Here is a 22,860-nt window from a genome sequence, read left to right as displayed (position 1 = left end):
GGCAGGCCTCCTGCTGACAAGCCAAGAGACACTGCCTGCCACAAAGCCTATCTTCATGTCCCTGACCCTACCAACCTGTGCTGTGCAAAAGAAACATCTACATAAGTCATATGGAGAAACGGATGAAAGGTCACTTATTCTCTTCCTTTCTACAGCTGGCTTGCCTGGGTTTGAGTTCCAGGGTCTTTCCTGGGAACGCTTCAGCAGGCCTTATGGGACTCCCAGCTCAACATCCTCTTCAGTAGCCAAAAGACACCAGAACACATGTGGTCATCTTGCTCAGAACCTCTCAATGGCTCCCAATTTACCTCTAGGATGAAACTAAATTCACAAGCCAATAGGCAAGGCTCTTTTGGAGTGGCCCACATAATACTGCATGAATTTGCCCACACACTCACCTTGCACTCCCTTTCTGCAGCCTCAGGCCCCAGCAGGGGCCAGAGCCCAGGTGGGCAGGCACCAACTGAGTGTCTGCATGGCAGAGGGAGGGACAGATCCAGGCTCTGGCCCAGCCCGCCTTGCCAGCCTCCTCACCCGCCACACCCCCACACACACCCACATGAAACTATTTGCAGCTCCCCAAACATGCCACATCCTCCCATGCTTCCTGCCTTTGCGTAAGCTACTTCCTCTGCCTGAAATGTCCTTCTTCACCCTATTCCAGAGTCCCTTCTGACTGGGAAACTCCTGCCCATCCTGCAAGACTCAGCTCAACTTTCCCCTTCAAAGCCTTCTGTTGCTCTCCACCAAGCAGCCCCTCCTCTCTGATCCCAAGTACCCACCAGGGAGCAGGTGTTGTGCTGCACTGTAACTGATGGCCTCCCCATCTCTCTCCATCACTCCAGGCCTCTAGGCAAAAAGGTCCAGGATCCTGCGCACACAGAAAGTTCTTGAGGCATGCTCAGTGACAGTACATGCATGCACACACAAGCAAGCCCTGCACCATAACAAACTTCCTCTCCCTCCACCTGGAGAAAAGGCAGAGCTCCTGTCAAAGTGGAAGAAGGGAGCTAAGAAGACAGGGCTCCCAGGATCCAGGAGGTGTGTGGGGCACAGCAGCTCCTTTCCTGGCTAAGCAACTCCCTAATTCCACAAGTAAGAACACTTCCTACCTCCTCCCCTGCCCTGGCCTAAGGAGGAGCCTAGAAGGTCTCTCAGCAAGCCTACCACCCACTAAGTGGCCCCATGCAAAGTTGAAGCTGGGAAGCAGCTGAACAAGGCACCAGCAAGGAGGAAATGGGACAGGCCCTAAAATAACCTAGGGAGTGGCAAGGCTGATCCAGTGGCAGAGGAAAGCTTTCCTGGCCTCCCAGTAAAGCCCAGACCCGCCTCCAGGGAAAAGGCCTACTAAGGCTGTCAAGTGCCCAGAAGGTTGGGATGTCCTGATGGGCAAGAGACCCCATCCACCTTGGCTCAATGAGTATCTGTATTTGGGCCGAACCCTAGGACATAGGCCTGGGCCTCCCAGCCCTACCTGCCTGCTCCTCTTCCTCCCCAGATCAGCTATTTCTCTGGGTACCTCTGCCCAGAACAAGAATTGGACCAGAACTAGTACCTACAAGGAACCACATCTGGGAAACAGGGCAGTGGCCAGACCCACCACCACTCGGGGTAAAGACAAGCCCATCCAGGATGTGTCCTCAAAGCAAGAGTACCAGGAAAACAACAGAGGCATGCCAGGCCCCAGAGCATCTCCTTTGGGCTGAAAAGCCTCCTGAGTCCCATTACTGGGAGGAGAGGGCAGTCTGCTTAGAACCTGAGGCTTCCAGGTACGAGCTAGTCCCAAGGCTGGCCCCACTGCCCCTTCCTGAGTGGTGTCACAGTGCCCTGCCGACCCTATTGTGTGAGGCTATAGCGAAGACAGCCATCTCGGGGCCCCTGCCAAGCCAAGACCTCGCTGAGTCTGGGAACTGGACAAGACTGATAATCTTCCAGGATGCAGGAATGAGAAATGGTGTCAGCGGCCCAGACCAAATGTAGTCATTGGGTTCAGGGTTAATACAAACTGCCAACCCCAGGCCCACAACCTACACAACCTGACAGGGACAGCAGCACCATCTCTCAAACCCAGGCACAGAGGGCTGCCCTTACTCTTCCCATGCCAGCCCACTGACCCAGAGCTACCCAAGTTAAGGGGGAAAGTAGAGGCAGGGCCCTTCATTTGCACTTGTACTCCCAAGGGAATAGACGAGCTGCACTGGCCCATGACTAGGTGGTTGATACGGGACCTCGTTTGCCCTCCTAGGTGCTACAGGTCAACACGCCAACCCCCAACTTCCCTGGGAAGCTTATGCCCAAAGGCACACGGAGACAGGCACCAGTCAGGACACGAGATGATGCAGACAGCTAGGCCAGAGGACAAGCCTCATTCTTCAGGCTCGGGAGGAAAGAAAGGAGTCAACAAGATACCAGCCCTCAAAGGTGAGTTTACTTAGAAACCTTTCAGGAACCTTCCTCTATAACCCTACACCTTCAAACAGAATCCTAAAAACAGCTGATATCTGACCAGGCACTCACCACTTTCCCCAGACTCTGCCTTCCAAGCATAAGCTCATTAAATCCAAACAGCCTTCTGTGGTTGGTACTGTTTTCAACCCTGTTCCCAAGGCCCAGACAACCAAGCCATTCAGCCAAGGTCACACAGCAAGGGAGTGCTGAAGTCAGGATTCAAACTCAAGCAGACCAGCTTCAGAGCTGCGCCACACAACCCAGGGGCATCCAGGAGTCCCGGAAATTGGCCCTAGTGAAAGCGGGCTGCACAATGGCTTTTCCCTGCACTGTGCCGCCTCACATGGCCCAGACAACCTGCAGGAGGCTGGGACTAAACCAGAGAGGCAGGCAGGGTCCCTAAAAGTACAAAGTCCCAGTGGCATGAGGTCCTCAGGCAGGACTGGATGTCAAGTGTGACACCCACCTATTTAAAGAACTGGGTATTGGGCCATATCATTATCAATTAGCCCCCACAAAACAAAAACCCTGAGGTAGGGATTCTTTTATCCTCATGTGACAGATGAGGAGACATACTCAGACAGGCCAAGTGACTCACCTAAAGTCACACATTGGTTAGCAGTGGAGCCTTGATTCAAACCCAGAAGGGCAAATCCGAAGCCCCTTCCTCTCACACCTCGTCTCACCTCACCTCAAGGACAGTTCTAGTGGGCAGAGAGGAGCTCGTGCTTCCAGACCTGTCCCACATAGTTAACCTGCTGCACAGCAAATGCCTGGACTCCACCTGGCAGAAAATAACCATGGAGTAACCAGGATAGGGGGCGGCCTGAGCCCTCAGGAAACATCCCAGCCCACATTCCCATTGCCTTTGTTGAGGAGGTCAGTCCTGGGAAATCCTACTCCCTCACCCCTTCCCAGGCTCCACCCAAACTAAGTGCCTCCAGGGAGGGCAGGGAGCCTTCTCTCCACACACACTGAGGGAGGAGGGAGTGTGACACAGGCCTACATCAGAACTCTCACCAGCCTCTGTGAGGCTGTGGTCATGCCAGCCAAATGACCACAGGCCCCTGCAGACCTAGTGGCCCTGGGCCTTGGTTCTCATTGGACTAAGGGAAAGGGGGCTTCAATGGCAGTCTTGTTTACTAAAGGCAGAAGCAAGTACCACCAGTTCCCCAACCCACTCCATGCCTGGAGCAAACACCACCTCCTAGGTAGTAGATGTAAGCAGCAAATATAGGCCCACTTGGGCCACATAAATTGAACTAGCTGCCACACCCATCTTGCCCCAGCCAGGCTCCCCATATAAGCAAGCAGGCAGGTTGCTTAAGCCCCAAACATAGCAGCAGAGGTGATGGTGGCACAGGGTGGGGCAGGAGGTAGAGAGCCAGCCTGGCAGACAGGATGGGCCCACAGGCACAGTGATAGCAGCCCAGCCACTAGGGCCTGTCCACAGGCCAGAGCTGGCCAGGATCAAGCGAGGCACTCAGGGTCCTCTCAGCTCCTTCCTTCCCCTCCAACACTGAAGGCTCCCAGAGGGACCAGGCCCCAAAAGGGAGCCTGAAGTCACTTTCCAAGCCCCCAGCACCCACCGCAGAAGCAGGGCTAAAGGCAGAGCAGTTTTTCTAGTCAGGACCCTTCCCCAGTCATGCAAGGGCAGTATGGACCAGTGTGTGTAAGGGAGATCTGTGACTGACATCCGCCTACATGTGATCCTTATCTCTGAACTCATACCCCATCCCTTGCATACCTTGAAGAGGAATGGCCCACACTCCATGAATGCTGGGCTCTGAGGTGGGTGAGTACACCCATGAGCCCCTGCCAGGGTCTGTCCACTTCCCAAAAGACTTCTTCCCCACCTTCCCATTCCCAACCATGCCAAGGGTTTCAGGGATGGAGAATGGAATCCTTCCTCCTGCCTCACAAGAACCACTCACCCAGACCTGCAGCCTCTTCCCATACAGGACTCCAGGGCACAAGGCTAACAGCTCCAGCAGCAGCTACTATGAACAGGTCCACACCAACTGCCACTGTCCAATCTTAGTGGTACCCTTTCTTGTGCTACTTCCTGGGTCCACACCCAGCCTAGGTGGGACCAGCCTACTCCCTGCCCAGCTGAGGACAGGACGAGGCATGGCTAGGGAGCTGTCCGTCACACCTCATGGGGTGGGCAGCATCTAAAGCCAGGTGGCACCTCTCACCTGGTTACTCACCACCCCACTCACAGAGCCTGACACAGCCTCACTGCCTCCCCACACTCACAGAGAAGCAGGTTCTGGCTCCTGTCACTCTGGGCTAGGGAAGGACACAGTGGGGGTGGGACACTGAACAGGTCAGCCTCTATTCTCTTTCTCTGAGAACCAGAGCATGCCACGCTGCACACTGCTGGTGGAGGCAGCCTAGGGGACAAAAACCTTTGGTTCTCAGCCCACTCCAGGACCAGGATGGGGCCTTTCCTCTAGGCTCCTAACACCCACACACTGGCAGGTCCTGGTCCCCATGGTACCCTAGTGCCCAACACAGAGCCTGGTACAGAGCAGGTGCTCAGATATTTGTTAAATGAAAACAAAAACATATGAGATCAGTGCCTTTCTCCTACTATCTGAATCTGTTTCTCCCTCCATAATATGGAGTGTGGACCAGGAGGCCTCAGGTCCTTCCGGACCAGTCTGTGATAGCCACGAGCACCTGAAGCCTGGGGGTCCATGGTTCCCTGAACCTGTTACAATCTCTGTCAGGCAGAGAATGCACTGACCAGCTCCAAGAGTAAATGGGGACCCAAGTGTCCCTGAGCCATCCCAGGTGCCAAGTGTGACCTAGCTCTAAATGGGGACACAGGTGTCTTCTGGACTGACCCAGGACTGGGATGGGCAGGGTCAGAAGGGCCACCTTGACTTGTTCATCATCCTCTGTGCCACCCAAATGACCACAGCCAGGCCAAGGGTCTAGGTTTGCTCAGTCTGACCTCTCAGCATATGTTAGCACAAGTGGTTTTCCCACCCATCTTTGTTGTTGTTAAGCATCTGTTGAGGGCTAAGTGCTGGGGTAAATGCCTCACCTATATCACTTAACTCTTCTCAGTCTACTATGAAGCAGGTATTTTATCATTACTCTGCAGACAAGGAAATAGAGGCTCAGAAACATTATGGGATATGCCTAAGATCACTCAGCAGGACAGTGATGGGACAGAATCAGAACTCGGGACTGCTAGCCTCAAGGCTGTGCTCTCAGGCCACAGTCCCCCAGACAAGCACCCTAGTCAGACTATGACCAACCAACCCTGGAGACCCAGGGCCCACCCCATGGGGTCCACCACATCTCTGGGAAAGCTGCAGGAGGCAGTGGCCAGGCCAGAATATCCCATGCCAGGCTTCTTCCATCTCACTCTTCCCTAGACCAGCCTCCAGCACTGACCCCAGGGTACCCTGCTGCCTTAGCCCTTTCCCATCCAGGAATTAGCACCTCCAACCCAAGAGGCAACCTGTTGATTCCAGAACAGGCAGACACGCCAATGAGAAGACAGCCAGCTGCAAGGACTCTTCTTGCAGAAGGCTCTGACTGGGCCAGGTGTGGAAGGGGGGGCAGGGCCTTACACAACGGAGCCCTTGAAGGGGTGAGGGTCACACATCTGCTCTAGGAGCTCCCCATAGCCCACTGTCTGTCCCATCCCACTCAGGCTCCAGTGCTCCCAACTTCAGTTAGTGCCATCTCCTGGCCATGTGACTGCAAAACCTCAACCAACCCATGTCGCCTCTCACCTGGACCCAGCCCAATCTCTTCTACGGCCTCCTGCCTCATCTCCTTCCCTCCTCCACCTGCCCTTCAGCTAACTTCCTAAAACAAAGGTGGCAAATTGTGCCACATCCTTCTTCTCAACCTGCTGTACTTCCCCACCACCTGGCTGGGCAAACCCTTCCACCTTTCTCCACCCAAGACATGTCTACTAACCACAATTCTCTGGTCATCCCATGTCTTCAGGCTCTTGCTGTCACAGTTTTCTTAGCCAAGTACCCCTTCCCAACAAAGCAAAATTCTACTTACATGAGAAGGCCCAGCTGAAATCTACCCCTTCTCTGAGCCTCCCCAGCAGACTCATGGCAGCCTCCCTGAACCTACAGCTCAAAGTTCTGTGGACATCAAGCACAGTGTCTTGTTGGAGAATCACTTATGTGGGGCTGACATGTCAGCCACACAGAGCTTCCTGAGGGCAGAGCCAGGTCTGATTCATCTCCAGAGTGTAGGTGTAGAGTAGAACCTGGCACAGAGAGGGAACCAGTACATCCTGTTTCAACTAGTGCCCCAGTAAGCCGGTCAGCACACATTGGGTAGACTGCAGGACTTGTGCACTTGAGCTCTCCAGGCAAGGAAATCAGAGCTGGGGATTCCAAATGCTTGGTTTGGCATGGCTTAGTAGTAGAGGCTGAAGAACCCTTGACAGAGCTGCCAGCCCATCCAGCTGTGGGCAGCACCACCCCATAGCATAGCAGTAGGTTACATTAGCAAGCTCTGACTCACCATAGGTTGTAAGAACAGCCAGACGCTCACAGGGTGCTAGTGATGCTGGATTAGTTTTTGACTTCAGCATTCTGAACATTCTAAGTAACTCATCTGGCTCCACTAGCCCCCTTGGCCATCTCCCAGCACCAGCTTGAGGTCTAAGGAAATGCCATATCACCAGGTTGAGGGGCATCAGAATGGCTGAAGAGGTAAGATTCCAAGCCCCATCCCCAGGGACTGCCCTCTCAGCCCTCAAGGGCCTACAACTATGGCAGAAGAGCTGAGGGATGGAAAGCACAGAAACAGCAAGATGTAACCCCAAAGAGTGGGCAGAATCTGAATGGCCTGGCCTTAGAGCACTGGCCCCAAATGGAGATGGAAGGAGGGATGACAAGAAGAGGAGGCAGGGGACCAAAGTCCTGGCAGAAGCCAGGGATTCATGGTGGTATAGTCCACTGCATTTGGAAATCCACAAGTAGCCATGGGCAAGGGGAACCAGACCTGGGCAAATAGAAAGCCCACAAATGGATGCCGGGAGCAGAAGTCCAGGCTAAATCTGGAAGGTGCTTCAAGCTCATAGAGGAGGGGTCTGCAGGGCCAGCTTGAAGATTCTCCCACCCTTTCCTCAGCAACCAAAACTACCCTCCCCAAAGAAGCCCTGGCCCACCAGGCCCATCCATGGGGCAGAACCCCATGGAGACTCCTTACCATGTGGGGGTTGTCATAGTAGACAGCGATGGAGCGGAGCTTGGGAGAGATGCTGCAGCTCTCAGTGAAAAGCCGCCCAGTCTCACCATAGAGCCCCATGTGGAACTTGTAGGCCACAGTGACGTTGCGGATGGGGGGTGACCCAGCACTCACTTCCACCCCAGCCAGTAGCCCTGAGTACCCGGCAAAGGCCAGCAGCGTCAGCAGCAGTAAGAGAGTCAGGCCCCCAATCAGGCCCAGTAGTAGCAGGTCCGACATGGCTCTGGATCCCCAACACTGCACCTCAAGGCAGCTGCAAAGGAGAAAGAAGGGAGAGGAGGCTGGTAGCCTACTCTGACAATGTGCCCACTTGCCCGCCAACCAGTTCTGGCCCAACCTCCTCAGACCTGCCTTGGGTGCTCTGACCCAGAAAGGGGAGGGGCCAGAGGTGTTTACACACAGAGTGACCTGGAAGGGAGCTACAAGGATGACTGAAGCCACAAGCCTCTTTATTTCTTAATCGCAGTTGGTGAGGATCTCAGAGCAGCTCAAACTGTCAGCTGGCAGCCCTGGTCACACCTGGGGAAACTGAGTCACAGAGGGGCACAGGAGTGATTCAGCCAGAGACATACTCCGGGCCCTGACAAGTCTCCCCGAAGATGTACCAGATACCAGCCAGCCTGCCTTTCCTCCACATTACCTCTTCCTCCCCACAGCTGAGCCACGCCACCAGCCCAGCCTCCCCAAGCCTCAGGGACGACTGCCAGAGGGAGGACTGGCAAATGCTAGGGTCCAAACACTTACTAACGACAGGGAAACCATAAGGAACAAAAACTTGTGAGGAAAAATGTGCCTCAGGAAGAGAATTTCATAAGAAACTCTCCTTTTCTAAGTACATCTGGCCTGCAGGGACCTTGCTATCCAGCAAGCTTACCCATCCAGAACCAGAGGAAAGACCAGAGCAAAGCGGCCTGAGCAGGCAGAACAAAGTCCAACACTAAGCTTCCCAGACTTGAACCACCAATGTTAACAAGCTTCATCCCAATTTTCCAGCCCACAGAAGAAACAGTGAGTAGTAAGAGGAAAAGGCTGCTAAAAGGGGAGTCGCACAGCAGGAGGAAGTAACAATTATCCCTAAGAGGAAAAGAAGCTGTTCAAGAGCAGTCCCAGGAACATAACACAGAGGCCAGTCTGTGAGCTATTCAAGGCAGGCTGCCTAGTTCTCCAGGCAGCTTGGGGCCAGAGGCCTAACCCTCTTACACAGAGGGCTTGACCTGAGTTGCCTGGCGGGGGGGAAAAATCACAGCCCAGAGAAGACTGTTTAAAGAGGAAGGGAGCCATGTGACCCACTGGGGGGACATTCCCACCCCAATTATTTAAAAGTAATATTTAACATTTAAAAGGTTTTGAAGCTAAAAAGGCCACGCTGCAACTTTGTGGAATACTTAGCTCTGTGGAATTATTTCTTCCCTGTGGGTGCTGGGTGTTGATTTTACGCTAAAAAAAAATTGTCTTTGGAGTCAATGAGCACACAGTATTTGCTCACAAAGAGGCAAAGTAAATTTCTAAACTTTCGGTGTCAAGAAATTGAGGTGTTGCCCACTAGTCTCACCCATCTGTGCTTCTACCCATCAGTATCTCTCTCTTTTCTGCCTGTCCTACTCATCTTGTCTCCAGTAACTTTCATTCCAATTTTCTTTGATAATGATGAGAAATCTTCCACTGAATGCTTACTATACGCCAGGCACTGTCTAAATGTTGAAACACAGCTACTTCATTCACCCTCAAAGCAATCCAAAGAGGTAGGTAAGGCTAAAGGTTCAAGTAGTTAGAGGTTAAGAGACTTGCCCAAGGTAACACAGGTATTAAACAGAGCCACGTGGACCAAAATGCAGGCAACACAAGCCCAGACAGTCTGATTCCAGCCCCTCATTTCCACTTTCTCTCTCCTCTCTGGTGACTGGCTTCCAAAACGCCTGAAGCATTAAATCCTTGTTGGACATCTCTGAGCCCAAAGCTGGAAAACTCTCAGCATCTAGGCCCCCACTTGCCTTGGGAATGACAAGCCCTCACCCTGATCTGCCATCTCAGCTGAACACTTCCTGTCTCCTCAAGGAAACTTAGTATCTACCTTTCTCTTCCTCTCACTTCCCAAACTGCTCAGAAAACGGCGGGGGGGAAGAAAACCCACCTGGGGGTCTCAGAGCCTTGGTCGGCACGTGGAGAGGTAACGTGAATTTCCCCTATATTCAAGAGAAAAGGAAGAAGGTCTGGGAGCTCACCTGAAATGCCAGGCTCACTTTTAGTAACTGCTGGCATCCAGTGCGGCAGGGGCCGAGCGCTCCAGTGCTGGGAGCTGAAAGAACAGTCACCCCTGCCCAGGAAATAACCACTGAGCCAACCATCATGCCCTGATTACCGTCCTCAGGGAAAGCCTACCGGTCCCTCTAAAGCACCCTCGTCCCATTCTCAAACCCCCTGTGGAAATCAGAAGCCAAACCTAGCTTTACAATGTCAGGTCTCTTCGCTAGAGCTCTGGTCACGCCCCTCTTCCTGGAGTACTCCAATCACACTTGGCGCCCAGAAACTGCCGCTGCCGCTGACCTTGGGCAGACTGCGCCCTCCCTCTAGCCTCGGCTCCCCCTCCGCTCAGAGGCCCGGGATGGACGCGTGCGGCCGGTGCCAGCGAGCCTCAGGGAAGGCTGCGCCCAGCCAGCTTCCTGGTGCCGCTCACGTGCGCGGCGGCGGAGGGCCGGGCCCTTAAACGGCCCCCGTCCTGGGCTAAACTTCGGTGCTAGCAGAGGGCGGAAGGACTATGGAGGGTGGGGGGCCGCCGCCTCCCACTTTCGGATTCCAGCCCCTGCTCACCCCGGGCCTTGCCTATTTACTCAGAGCCTTTCTCTTCGCCCACCTCCTCACGGAGCCCCACGCACGTCTGTAACTTAAAGGACGCTAAAGTTTGCAGCCCAGGCTGCGAGGCGCGGCCTTGGGGGACGGGGGCGGAGTTAAAACGCGACTCGCGCCTCTTTCCCTCACCTCCACGGCCCCGGGGCATGCCCTGCACCGGTGGCCGCGGAAGTGGGCTGCCCGGAAGAGTAGGGGCTGCCCCAAGGTCGCATCCAGGCCCTCGGACCTGGCCGAGGCCAGCTGTGGGCAAGACAAGATGCAAAGAGCGGCCCGGGCCGCGGGGGTCACGGAGGGGACACGGAGAGTCCTGAGGTCGCGCCAGGGCGGACAGGGGGAGTCCCAGACCTACGCCCCAGTGGGTATGCCTCTCCTCTGGCCCGGCCCTCACCTCAGCAGCCGCCCGCTGCGGACGCCGATCCGCGCAGGCGGCTCAGGGTTCGGTTACGGAGCCTGCGCGCGCCCGCCGCGCACGCTCGCTCCGCCCCCTCTCGCGGCGGGACATGGCCGTGGCCGTGGGCGCGTGCGCGCGGGACCCGGAGGGCGGAGGCCTGCCCCGCCCCGTCTCCATGGCAACGGGCGTGTGCCTAGCCCCAGCGCTGGCTGCGGCGGAACCCACGGCGTACCTTCCCGCCTCCAACAAACTATCCGGTTGCTGAGGTTGATTTAGCAACACCCCAGGGCATCTGGGTTGGCAGGAGCACCACAGTGACAGCCTGGCCCAGGCTCGGGTACGGGAGGCAGCCCAGTGGCCCGCAGTAGAGGGCCAGGCTGGGGACCAGGGAGCTGGGGCTGAGGAGAATTTGTACAGCCTAGGGAGGCGCAGCACAGCAGTATCAGCCTCTGGCATTTGTACCACCTTTAGTCCTGCCACTTTCTCTCACTGTGGCTTCGCAACAGACTTGGGAACCAAGAAAGGCATAGGTGAGGAAGCTGAAGCCCAGTCTGGGCTCGCGGAAGAAACTGGTGGATCCAACTTCTGCATAGCGCAAATATCTGCTTCCTGCCTCCACCCACCCATTCCCACTTCCGTGAGTATATTCATCCATCCAACACTTATTATTACTCCTTGCCAGGACAGTTCTAGGGGCTGGGGATAGAGTGAACAAAACCAAGGTTCTGCCCTCCTGGAGTTCACGTTCCATGGGAATGCCCTTCTTCCAGGCTCCTCCCTCAGTGCCCAGGTTGTGGCTGTGGGAGGCTGGTCTACCTTTGTGGTTTAGCGGTAACTTACGTGATTCCCACGTCAAGTGTAAGCTCCTTGATGATTGGTTCAATCTTCACCTCAAATTTCTGAGGACCTACAAACTACAAAGCACTCTTCTAGGGGCCCAAAGATAAAACGCTCCCCTCGTGAAAATCCCGGACTTTTGGTGGGAGGTGGGGAAGGTGACAACTATGCTCATAAGCTTGGCTACAAGACCGGCGAGGCCAAGAGCTACTTTGGTATCCTGACAAGGACTGATGTTTGGGAGGGGGATCCAGCAGATGGGAACACCACGAAGGTGGTGGTGGGAAAAGTCAGCAGTCACAGGGTGGTTCACCTTGTGGATCCCACTACTGCACCAGCAAAGAGCAGGCTGGGCACACAGAGACAGTCAAAATCCCAGCTTCCTTTCCCTCTGCTTCACATTCTTCCTTCCGCAGGCAGGGGAGTTTGAACCTTATCCACAGGGCCAAGCCTGTCCCAGCCCTCTAGGCAAACTGGCAGAACAGGCAGCTGGCCCCTCACAGGCACTCCGGGCTGGGCCAGTGCAGGTCGCAGCAGTTGTTTTACCTATGAACATCAAGCACATGGTCAAACCCTCAGCTTAGGTGCCCCAGGCAGGCGGGCTACACACTTGGTAGCATTTCCTTTGACACAAGGAGCAGCCATGGCCCGGGCTCAGAGACTGACAGCCTCTGCCTGCAGGGTCTGCGTGGTCATTTCTCCTGCTTCTCAGAAGGTGGTGAGCTTTTCCCAGGAAACCATTATAAGGAAGTGCCCATTCTTTATCTTGTTCTCTCTGCTCACTTCCCTTAGCCTGATTGGGGAACTCTAGAGCCCCACATCAGAGTTCAACATGTGCCTCAGGAGCTTCAGCACCTCTTTTGTGGGAGGAGAGTCCGCTGGTGACTGGGGCTGCAGGCCATGACATCAGCCTGCCCAGCTTCACCTCAGGCTGCTTCCAACAGTGCCAAGTGAGGTCCCTTGGCAGGATCCCTGCAAGGCAGCGGCTGGCCACCAGGAGGCAGCAGCCTACTCTACAAGGCACTTTCTTCATTCCAACCCCTTGTAACAGGTCTGAGGAAACCTGTTCGCCCAGCCATGTGCTGCAACCATCCTCCACTCCCAATCTTATCTCCCAATAGCACAGATTCCCCTATCATGAGTCCAGACTTGGCCTTCATCTCCTCTTGCCTTCCTCTGTCCAAGGAATCACTACAGAGATTCTTTCTCTATCCTTCTTTGTAAATTTCCAGAAAATTGTTTCCCCAGGGCCCCTCCCCTTGAAGAAATTAAACAGGAAGCTGGAGTAGACTGTCCCTTCTTTCCCCCACCTCTCACACTCCAAAGCTCTGTTTAACTCTGTGGGCCAGTGGCTAGATTCCCCAACATGGATGACAGAGAATACACATGCAATAAGAATGTTTTCGCTGCCACCAGCCACTCACAGACACACTGTCTCCCACCCTCTGAAGGCATTGTGCCCAATCCCCAGCCACTCACTGTCTAGTCAGGGCTGCCCCTGCAGGACTTGCCTTGGCTGAGGACCAGCTAGCTTCAAGCCACTCTGAAGTCAGCTTGCTGTTTCCCCTGGAGCCTGGTAATACATCCTTCTTCAGGTGAACAAAAGCAGAAAAAGCCCAGTGAACCCCACTGCAACAAAGAGCCTGCCATCAGTCTTCCTTCTGTTCCTGCCTATCTCATCACCCAAGGGCTATCCCAGAGCCCACTATGTTCTAAGATCTATTCCTTTCACCACCACCCAGCCAAACAACTATCCAGACAATTCCTTGATCAAACAACACTGCCTTCTTGAGTTTAAATTTTATTTTACAAAAAGAGAAATAAAGAAAACTGATAGGCAGTTATACTGACTTACAATTGTTCTGTTTGCTTTTTTTTAAAAAAGTGACATGAAACACAAGTAAAAATAAATACGTCATAGAAACAGCCAGTTGCCCAGTCTCTGGGGCAGGAGCGCCTGCCCTGCTGAGAGGAGGGAAGCCCATGATCACACCAGCAGCTGGATCACCCAGCCACAGATGCTCCTCGAAGCCAGGCACAGGTCCCAGGCCTCAGGGGCGTCCTGAGGAAAGAAGACGGAAAACCAAAGCCAGGTGCCAGGACCCTGGGGCCACCTCATTATCCCCCACTCCTCCTGGCAGCAGTCTGGTCTTAGTGGTTATCCATAGCGACCCCCCTTAACCCACCTGGACCCTCTTCCCCTGACCTCTCTGAAGATGGTACAAGGGAAAAACCTGTCTTGGGCAGGCTGGGGGGGATTCTTCTGGTGAGTCCCCAGCCCACCCTGAGTAACACAACCAGATAACAGTCATTTTACACCCAGGTGCACATGAGCACAGCACACAAACACACACACACACACTCACACACACACACACACACAGCTGGGCTGAGCTCTCTTCCAGGGAGGGTCCTGGGTCCAGTCACAGTATGAGGTCCTCTCTCTTCTGAATATCATCCCAGTAGTGGCAGCAGAGAGTACCCAAACCTCCCCAAGCCCTCTGCATTGCAGACACTGCAGCCTGCTTGGCTACCCCTCCCCAACACACTAGATTACTATGTCAAATAGACCTGCAAAAGGGAAAGGTGCACACTCAGGTCCCTGAAGAGCAAAGAAGTTGGACACTGCCTGCTCAAGAAGTTCATTGTTATAAGACTCAGGTATTCATAAAAGGCCTAGGGCTAAGCTAGTAGCACAGAAAAGCCGTTAAGGGGATCACAGCAGAATACACAGGGCAGAAGAGAAGAGTTGGCAGCAGGGGAACGGAGTCTCAAGGTGACCAATAGAGAGCACAACATTCTCAAATAGTCCTTGAGGTGCTGATTCCTGGGAGTAGTCAGCAGAGGGCCAGAACATCTCCCAGGGGTCCTTTTGGGGAAGGATGACTTCACTTAGTTTTAGGGGTGAAGAGCCACTGAGCTGGGTGCACAGAAGGCCATGGCTCAGAAGGGAAAGACTGATCTGAGAAATCAAAAGGAAGTGGGGGCCAGGAGCAGTGGCTCACGCCTGTAATCCCATCACTGGGAGGCCGAGGAGGGTGGATCACTTGAGGTCAGGAGTTCAAGGCCAGCCTGGCCAACGTGGTGAAACCCCGTCTCTACTAAAAAATATACAAATTAGCTGGGCATGGTGGTGTGCACCTGTAATCCCAGCTACTTGGGAGGCTGAGGCAGGAGGATCGCTTGAAACCGGGAGTGGAGGTTGCACGGAGCCAAGATCACACCATTGCACTCAAGCCTGGGTGACAGAGCAAGACTCTGTCTCAAAAAAAAAAAAAAGGAAGTGGGAAGCAGAAGGTAATATCCAGAACACTAGTAACAAGGAATGTAAAGCCCCCAGAAGACCTTCCCCATGGGATGAGGACTCAATTTCAGAGCAATGCCAGGTTTGAATAGACTCACACAGAGGGCCCTTCTCTGCTGACAACTTTGGGAGTGATGGTCCTACCCAGGCCACTTAAGTTTGGCTAAGTGTTTCAACCAATCTGCAAAACTGTACCCCAGCACTTTGCTTCCTGCTCCTGAATTGAGAAATTTCATATTTAGTTGTGAATCACAAGCATATAGAGACTCCACACACTAATTCCTAGGGAAGAGAGCTCCAAGGATCACAAGCATATAGAGACTCCACACACTAATTCCTAGGGAAGAGAGCTCCAAGGACCAGACAGAATTATCCTTAAATCAGGAGATGATGAGATAGATGCCTAAAAAGCATAACTCAAAGGGGTGTGGACTTCATAGATATCCAATCTAAAGAAAATGATATGACCCAACATGGTTCACTTCCTTTCTTAAATAGCTACTTTGTCCCTGTTCAATTTTTATCTACAAATATATTAAGAAAAGGAAATCAAGCATCACTATAAATGGTAAACCTCAATCATTAAGTAGTACTGTGTTCCCCAGGCTGAGAACTTGGCTAAACCAGATGAATGGGGCTTGAGAGGCCCTTGAAAACATTCCATGGAAGACAATGGTAAGGGAAAACGCCTAGGCCTGATTTTCTGCCCTCCCTCTTATCACCAGCCACCCTGCCCCCCTCAGGCCTGGATAATGGGTGGAAGACACCACCAAGTGTTTATGATCAAAGAAACTATAAAACATGGTTCTTAGGCTCTGAGATACTTCCTGCTTCCCTCACAAACATGCTTATGTTTGGTGTGCATGCACATTTGCCTATCAGCACATATAAAGAGACAGTGGAAAAGTCAGAAGTGTTTTCAGGTTATTTTCTTTAAAAAAAAAAAAAAAAAAAAAAAAAAAAAAAAAAAGCAAAAACCATGGACCTGGTAGCACTCCAATTTCCCATGATCCCACCCCCAACCCCTCTACACAATAGAAACTGCACATATAAAAGAAAGCCTTCTCTAGTCAGGTCAGCCTCCCAGAATGATGGCCTCTGCTGAGTAGAAGCAAGACCCAGTCCCTGGAACACTGGATAGACAGTAGGCATGTGCTGCCTCTCAGAATACCCATTTACTTTCTGTCAACTTCAAAAGCCAAGCCCATCCCTCCAGGGAATGGTTTCAGTTCCCGGCTGGGAAGGTTTCCGGATTCTTGGAGGCTAGTACAGTGATTTCCTAGAAGTGAACACAGAAATACTACCCCCTTCTCCCGACAACACACACACACAGACATACACATGCACACATGCATCTCTGGGATCCCAGTGCTCCAGGGCCTGAGAGGCATCAGTGTAACCCAGGTTCTGAGTGTGTCCCATAAATTGGAGATTCAGTCTAGCTCACTCCTACTGCACCAGCCTCAACCTGAGAGCTCACTCCAACTGAGTCCCTTCACCATCCATTCTTGGGATGCATCTGAAAGAGAAAGCACTGGTTGGAACTGCTATTTTTAAATTATTAAAATAATTTGCATAGCTAAATTGTAGATCTAAGGCTTCCATGAGTAGAAGAGTTAAGTGTCTGGCAGGGTGCTTATGAAAACACAAAGCTTCTTAAGTTCCACTTTTGGTGTTATTGGACAGCAGACAAACACACATATACACATGCACCCCATCCATCATCTCCTTGTCTCTTCTCTGAGGACAATACCCCAGAGTCTGCTAAGGCCCTCCAAAGATGGAAATGGGCTGGTCAGAAGAGCTGTAGGAGCTACTACTGGGATGACCTGACTAAGCTGCCTTCTGGGCTGGGAAGAGGCAGGTACACCACCTGCCCAGTAAGGAGGGAGCCATGGGTAAGTGGTAAAGCTCTAAAGCCAAAGTTTGTTCATCATAAAGAACTGTCTGGCAAAGTGTTGGGGTGGGGGATACAGAGGGGGCGGGGACACCAGTAGGAAGACAGCCAGTGTTTATGCTTAAGGACTAGACGACCCTCCCCTGGCAATGGCAATAAGGGGAGACCCAGAATGACTGGTGTGTTCTTTTAAGATAAAACCCAGACTTAGGGCTCCTACAGAGAAAGGGCTCCTCCATGTTCCTTCAAAGATGGAGGCAGCAGACACCAGGCCTACATGGACCACCTGAAGATATTTTCGAACATGAAATCAACAGTCCCTCAACCCAGCAACCGCCTATCCACAGCTTCACTATTCAGCATAGAGAGCCAACATCTAACATCATCCCAGGAGGACACAGCTCCAAATCTGGGGTCTCTTACTTCCCAATTGCAAACTCCATGATCACAACTTTCGATTTCTGTGGAATGAGTCCCACCCTCCACTAACTATCCAGTCTCAGGATTCCCTGATCTTCCTGAAAAGCCATCTCTCAAAAATATAGTTGTTTAATCCAAACCTTGGTCAAACCTAACTCTTCCCCTGGTCAATTTACCATCCATCCAGGATTGTTTTTCACCAGTGGCTATAGGGTCTGGGATATCTTAAAACTTCCCTTTCTATCACCTACCCTCCTTACCCCTAACCTCCCCCCACCCCCAAATAAACAAGACACATGAAAAGTCCAAGTAATAAATAATTGCCCATAAGAAATAAATTAACATGGAGCTCTCTAAAGGGGAAGGAAAGGAACAGAAAAGACTACCAGGATAGGCAGCTGGGGGCTCAGTTCTACCCTGGTGAAAAATGTATTTTCCAGCCACAACTCTGCGACCTTTCATTCACGTACTGCAGTGCTTCTCCCTCCCAGCCTCTGCACACAGACAACCTTCCAAGCTGGAAAGGGAGAGCTGCTCAGAGATAGCCACCGGGGTTAAGAGACATAGATTGGTAATGCCCATTTTCTCTCATGAATTTCCCCAAATTCTCACACAAATGTGGCTCTGAATACCAGGGACTTGAGTTAGCTGGGCCTTCTCTTCACCCATCCCGAAGGAAACTTGTTATTTCCATGGCTCTTCTGGGCTCACCCTGATGTTCACACTAGGTGCCATGAACCACCAAACTGACTTCCATTTAAAGAAAGATAAATTCATTTTTCAGTTTCCCTCTTAGTTCTTCCCTCCCTCCCCTCCCACCTTCACCCCTGCTCTGTTCCATACATACACATACAAAATAAACATACACACACACACTCACAAACACACATACCTGGTCAGCTTCCTTCCCACCCCCTAAAAAGACCCCACTTCACATGGGATCACAGTCTGCTCCCCCTACCCACCCTCCTTCTCTCACTCATTCTCCCTTCCTTCACTCCCCTCCCCAGGCCAAGCTAAGTCACCTAGTAAGGCAGCTCTCTTGGGAAAGAATGTTCCCAAAGACAGAAATGGGATGTGCGCTTCTACACTCAGATGGGCGAGCAAGCAAGCAGACAGCATAAGCAAGGCAGGAAGGAAAAGAGGCTGCACTGCCCCTCCATCCCTGTTTTGGGTCCCTGATTTCCCGCTATTGCTGCTGTGTTGGACTTTTTTTTTTTTTTTTTTTTTTTTGCCTCTTTTGTTAAACAGCAACAGAGCTCTGCCACTTTGGCCAACCACCCTCCTTTGTCCTCTTCCTTTTCCCTCCTGCCAAGTGTCCTATTCTCAAAAGGTCTAAATCACTGCCTTTCAGCTTGGTGGGCAACCTGCTGGGGGCCCCAAGTGAGGTGGGGAGGGGCTCCCTAGCTATTTCCCAGTGACCTCTATCACATCATCGTCTTTATCCTCATCATCATTGGAGCTGAACCCAACCTCGGCAACCTCATGAGAGTCAAATGGAGGCACCTGGGACCGTAGGAGGCCACCAGCTGGGTAGCCTGCATGTGGGGACATGTAGCCTGGATAGATAGACATGCCCCGCGAAAGGTTGCTGGGCAAGACAGGGGAAGGAAAAGGCGCAAACATCCTCGGCTCGGACAGGAGTGGCTGTGAGAATGGGAGTGAATAGCTGGGTAGTATCCCTGGCACAGAAGGGTTGAGCATGAAGGAGGGGTTGCTGGCAGTGACTGAGGTAGCCGTGGAAGAGGAACTGACGGGGCCTGCTGGCACCAGAGGGTCAGTAGTCACTGGAAACACCAGGCGGGCATCTGCCAGCAAATTGGACAGCTGGTAGTAGGAGGGGGTACTGCCCATAAACAGGGAGTTCTCCCCAGCCTGGGAGGTGAAGGGGGTGGTGAGGTTATGGTTTAAGGAGACGGGTGGCATGGCAAACCCGCCAGAGACTGGATACCCGTGTTCATACGGCTGCACGGGGGCTGGCAGATGACCCTTCCTGGACCGCCGGCGGGATGACTCCTGGGCAGCAGGTGGTGTGGCCAACTTTCGCTTGTGGCCCCTTAAGTCCAGCACTGGGTGCCTGTCACCACAGGGCTGGCCAGTCACCAAGAGGGAACTATTGAGGCAATGACCCCCTAGTCGAGGCTCAGTTCCGAGAGCTGTCCCGGGAACAGCACTGCTGTCCATAAGTTGGGCCGGGGGGCCAGGCAGGGCGGCATTGGTGCTTGGGGAGCTCTGACGGGATTCCCGGGCAGCAGCCACATCTGCATACTGCTGAAGCTCACTGATGATCTCTGGGCTGTCAGGAGAGACGGGCCTGGCCAGCCCCTCAGGGTCGGGGGCTTTGGGTGATGAGGCACTGTGTCTGCCGTTGCTTGTGGACTCGCAAGAAGGTCCCTGGGAACCTGGGGACAAAATGTAGTTAACTGAGAATCAGAGTGGCCAGGGAGAGAAGAAGGGTAGAGGAGAAAACTCCATTAAAAAAAATCCTGTCCTGTAGTCCCCAAAATTCTAATAGTTTGATGTCTGAACAACATCACCCAGTCAACCTTTTCCAGTCACAAAGAAATTCTTTGATCCCAGAAATAGGTCTATCTATGACAAGGCATGTAACTTTTCTGCACCCCAGTTCCCCAAACTGTAAAACTATACCAAAATGAATCCTACGAGATAAGGGATATGAAACACTAAGAGATCATTCTTAAAACTAGTCAAACTTTTTCTGGCAGTAAGAGACAGTCAGTGATCAATGTGGGGGAAAGAGGAAAATCAAGCTAAAAAGCAGTTCATTCTGATTTGAAAACAAAACAAAATCCATAGCTATGGAAGACAACTGGGACAAATGGGAAATCTCAATTTTGGAATACTAGGTAATTTTATGGAATCGTTAGCTTTTTTTAGTGTAATAATGATATTGTGGCTAGGAACAGAATATCTTTAATCTTAGCAGATGCATGTTGAAGTACTTAGAGATAAAATGACATGATGAAAAACATGACATATATCTTCGACTTACGAATGACTCAAATAATAGAAAGGGAGGGAGAGAAAGAAGAAGGTTTATGAAAACTAACCATCATTAAATCTAGGTGCAGGGTATATGGGTGCTCATGGTGCTATTTTTCAACTTTTCTGTATGTATGAAAATTTGAAATTTCCATAATACAAAGCAGGGAACAAGAGCATTCTAGCCCTCTAGCATTCTAGCTCAGGGGTGGGAGGATAAATGAGAACCACTCCCACTGAGGGGAACTTGGCAAGAGTTCTTAACACTGTTCATGTGCCACACATATACCCTTTGACCTGGCAATCCCACTTTAAGGAACATATCCTATAGATATAACCACCTCTGTGAAAAAGCACTGTCAGTGATGGTGGAGTAAAATAATCAAAATGTATGTTGACAGGGAACTAATTAATACATTGTGTTACAGCTCATCCTGTGCGAACCTTCAAGAAGACATATCTAGAAGAAATGATAAGGAATAAACTATTACTGGTGAGTGAAAAAAGGAGTAAATAGTATTTTATGGTATGTTAGCATTTGTTTTAAAAAAACAAAGAAAATTGGCTGGGCATGGTGGCTCACACCTGTAATACCAGCACTTTGGAAGACCGAGGTGAGTGGATCACTTGAGGTCAGGAGTTCGAGACCAGCCTAGGCAACATGGTGAAACCCCATCTCTACAAAAAATGCAAAAATTAGCTGGGCGTGGTGGCACGCACCTGTAATCCCAGCTAATCAGCTAATCGGGAGGCTGAGTCAGAAGAATCGTTTGAACCCGGGAGGCGGAGGTTGCAGTGAGCTGAGATTGCACTGCTGCACTCCAGCCTGGGTGACAGAACGAGACTCTGTCTCAAAAAAAGGAGGAGCAATGGATGTCTGCGACCATGGTGGAGGAGAAACTTATGGCCTGGCGTGGTGGCTCACACCTGTAATCCCAGCACTTTGGGAGGCCGAGGCAGGCGGATCCCGAGGTCAGGAGTTCGAGACCAGCCTGATCAACATGGTGAAACCCAATCTCTACTAAAAATACAAAAGTTAGCTGGGCGTGGTGGCATGCTTCTGTAATCTCAGCTACTCAGGAGGCTGAGGCGGGAGAATCACTTGAACCTGGGAGGAGGAGGTTGCAGTGAGCCGAGATTGCACCATTGCACTCCAGCCTGGGCAACAGAGCGAGACTCTGTCTCAAAAAAAAACAAAAAAAACAAAACAAAAAGGCTGGGCGCGGTGGCTCATGCCTGTAATCCCAGCATTTTGGGAGGCTGAGGCGGGCGGATCACGAGGTCAGGAGATCAAGACCATCCTGGCTAACACGGTGAAAAGCCGTCTCTACTAAAAATACAAAAAAAAATTAGCCAGGTGTGGTGGCGGGCGCCTGTAGTCTCAGCTACTCGGGAGGCTGAGGCAGGAGAACGGCATGAACCCAGGAGGCAGAGCTTGCAGTGAGCCAAGATCGAGCCACTGCACTCCAGCCTGGGCGACAGAGCGAGACCCTGTCTCAAACAAAAAATAAACCAAACAAACAAACAAAAAGAAACAAAAAAAAAAACCACACAAAAATACTTACTTTTCACTTTACCTCTTTCTGTACACTCTGAATTGTGAACCATGTACATATTATCTATTCACATAATAAGTTAATACCTAACCAAAACAAAGCAAACAAATGTTGTTTGAAAAGTAAAATGGAAAGTAAAAGCCATCACACCTGAGGCAGCCATCCGACCATCTTCAGGAACCTTTGGTTTGCCAGTTGCCCGGACAGCAAAGATCCGTCCATCACTGGTACGGATGTACGTCCCTAAGAATAGACACGAAGAAGACAGTTAGAGGCAGACATATAATACAGCCAACCCTGGGAAACTCCAGGCTGTGCGCCGTGGGCTTGTAAATAGCTATACAATTAGGTATACCATCTCCCAAGACCCCTGAAATAAGAAGTGGGGTGACTGAGCTATGGACTCATAATTATTCATTTATTTCACAAGCATTGATTACATGACTACCATGTGCCAGGCACTGTTCTAGACACTAGAAGGCACAAGGCAGAAAAAGGCCCTGTCTCATGGAGCTTAGTCTCTAGAGAGGGAGACAGAGACTTATACCAGAAAATATCAGGAAGGGTTCAATGCAATGGAGAAGCAAATAAGGTGCTACAAAAGAGAGTAAGTTGGAATCCTATGTTCCCAGGCACTCTGGCCCAGGTTCTCCTCTTGATCTGCGAGGAAGGAGCCTTACTGCTTCAATATCCTCTCTCCCCTAGTAGGAATAATTCAAGAAAGACCTGCATTCTATTCCCACAAGGCACTAATCTATCTTCTCTTCAGCCTTGGGTATGTCATTTGATCAACCTCCTCGAATGTCAGTGCTGCCTTTAGGCCAGGAGTTAGCAAACTTTTTTACAAGAGCCAGATAGTTTTTGGGCCGGGCACAGTGGCTCACGCCTGTAATCCCAGCATTTTGGGAGGCCGAGG

General features: G+C 51.8%; 2 protein-coding genes and 1 long non-coding RNA gene across 24 annotated transcripts in view, besides 3 other annotated features; 1 reads left to right on the top strand and 2 right to left on the bottom strand.

Moving 5' to 3' along the window:
- The window catches only part of TEX264 (testis expressed 264, ER-phagy receptor), a 33,072-nt gene extending 22,111 nt beyond the window's left edge, over window positions 1–10,961 (bottom strand). For 3 of the 17 annotated variants that reach the window (NM_001243725.2, XM_047448278.1, XM_017006574.3), the window contains exons 1-2: window positions 10,666–10,961; window positions 7,651–7,942 (exon numbers count right to left, since the gene is read on the bottom strand). In NM_001243725.2, the coding sequence (NP_001230654.1) occupies window positions 7,651–7,908 (258 nt within the window). In that variant the 5' untranslated portion in view covers window positions 7,909–7,942; window positions 10,666–10,961. Of the gene's footprint in view, window positions 1–782; window positions 872–7,650; window positions 7,943–9,820; window positions 9,873–9,911; window positions 10,004–10,129; window positions 10,160–10,233; window positions 10,336–10,509; window positions 10,587–10,665 lie in introns of those variants that run through there. The other 14 variants (NM_015926.6, NM_001243727.3, XM_047448276.1 and 11 more) reach the window with 13 other exon arrangements.
- Window positions 2,830–3,588: an enhancer, noted in NCBI's record as "H3K27ac-H3K4me1 hESC enhancer chr3:51712641-51713399 (GRCh37/hg19 assembly coordinates)". NCBI's record gives its function as "activates a minimal SCP1, AML or CMV promoter by ChIP-STARR-seq in naive H9 embryonic stem cells {active_cell/tissue: H9 hESC(naive)}" and the evidence as "EXISTENCE:reporter gene assay evidence [ECO:0000049][PMID:30033119]".
- Window positions 10,796–11,225: a silencer, noted in NCBI's record as "silent region_14416". NCBI's record gives its function as "represses an Ori minimal core promoter by ATAC-STARR-seq in GM12878 lymphoblastoid cells {active_cell/tissue: GM12878}" and the evidence as "EXISTENCE:reporter gene assay evidence [ECO:0000049][PMID:35858748]".
- On the top strand, window positions 11,108–13,596 carry LOC124906237 (uncharacterized). Its single transcript, XR_007095907.1, has 2 exons — window positions 11,108–11,564; window positions 12,557–13,596. It is a non-coding gene; the product is annotated as an uncharacterized LOC124906237 (long non-coding RNA).
- RAD54L2 (RAD54 like 2) overlaps window positions 13,553–22,860 on the bottom strand; it is a 129,942-nt gene continuing 120,634 nt past the window's right edge. For all 6 annotated transcript variants that reach the window (NM_001322253.2, NM_001387866.1, NM_015106.4 and 3 more), the window contains 2 exons: window positions 22,095–22,187; window positions 13,553–19,787 (listed from right to left, as the gene is read on the bottom strand). In NM_001322253.2, the coding sequence (NP_001309182.1) occupies window positions 18,793–19,787; window positions 22,095–22,187 (1,088 nt within the window). In that variant the 3' untranslated portion in view covers window positions 13,553–18,792. The remainder of the gene's footprint in view (window positions 19,788–22,094; window positions 22,188–22,860) is intronic.
- Window positions 19,026–19,526: an enhancer, noted in NCBI's record as "H3K4me1 hESC enhancer chr3:51696703-51697203 (GRCh37/hg19 assembly coordinates)". NCBI's record gives its function as "activates a minimal SCP1, AML or CMV promoter by ChIP-STARR-seq in primed H9 embryonic stem cells {active_cell/tissue: H9 hESC(primed)}" and the evidence as "EXISTENCE:reporter gene assay evidence [ECO:0000049][PMID:30033119]".

This window comes from Homo sapiens, chromosome 3 (genome assembly GCF_000001405.40).
Source record: "Homo sapiens chromosome 3, GRCh38.p14 Primary Assembly".
NCBI classification, from domain to species: Eukaryota; Metazoa; Chordata; class Mammalia; order Primates; family Hominidae; genus Homo; species Homo sapiens.
The sequence above is the reverse complement of the archived record's forward strand: the minus strand, read 5'-3'. Positions and strand labels throughout refer to the sequence as shown.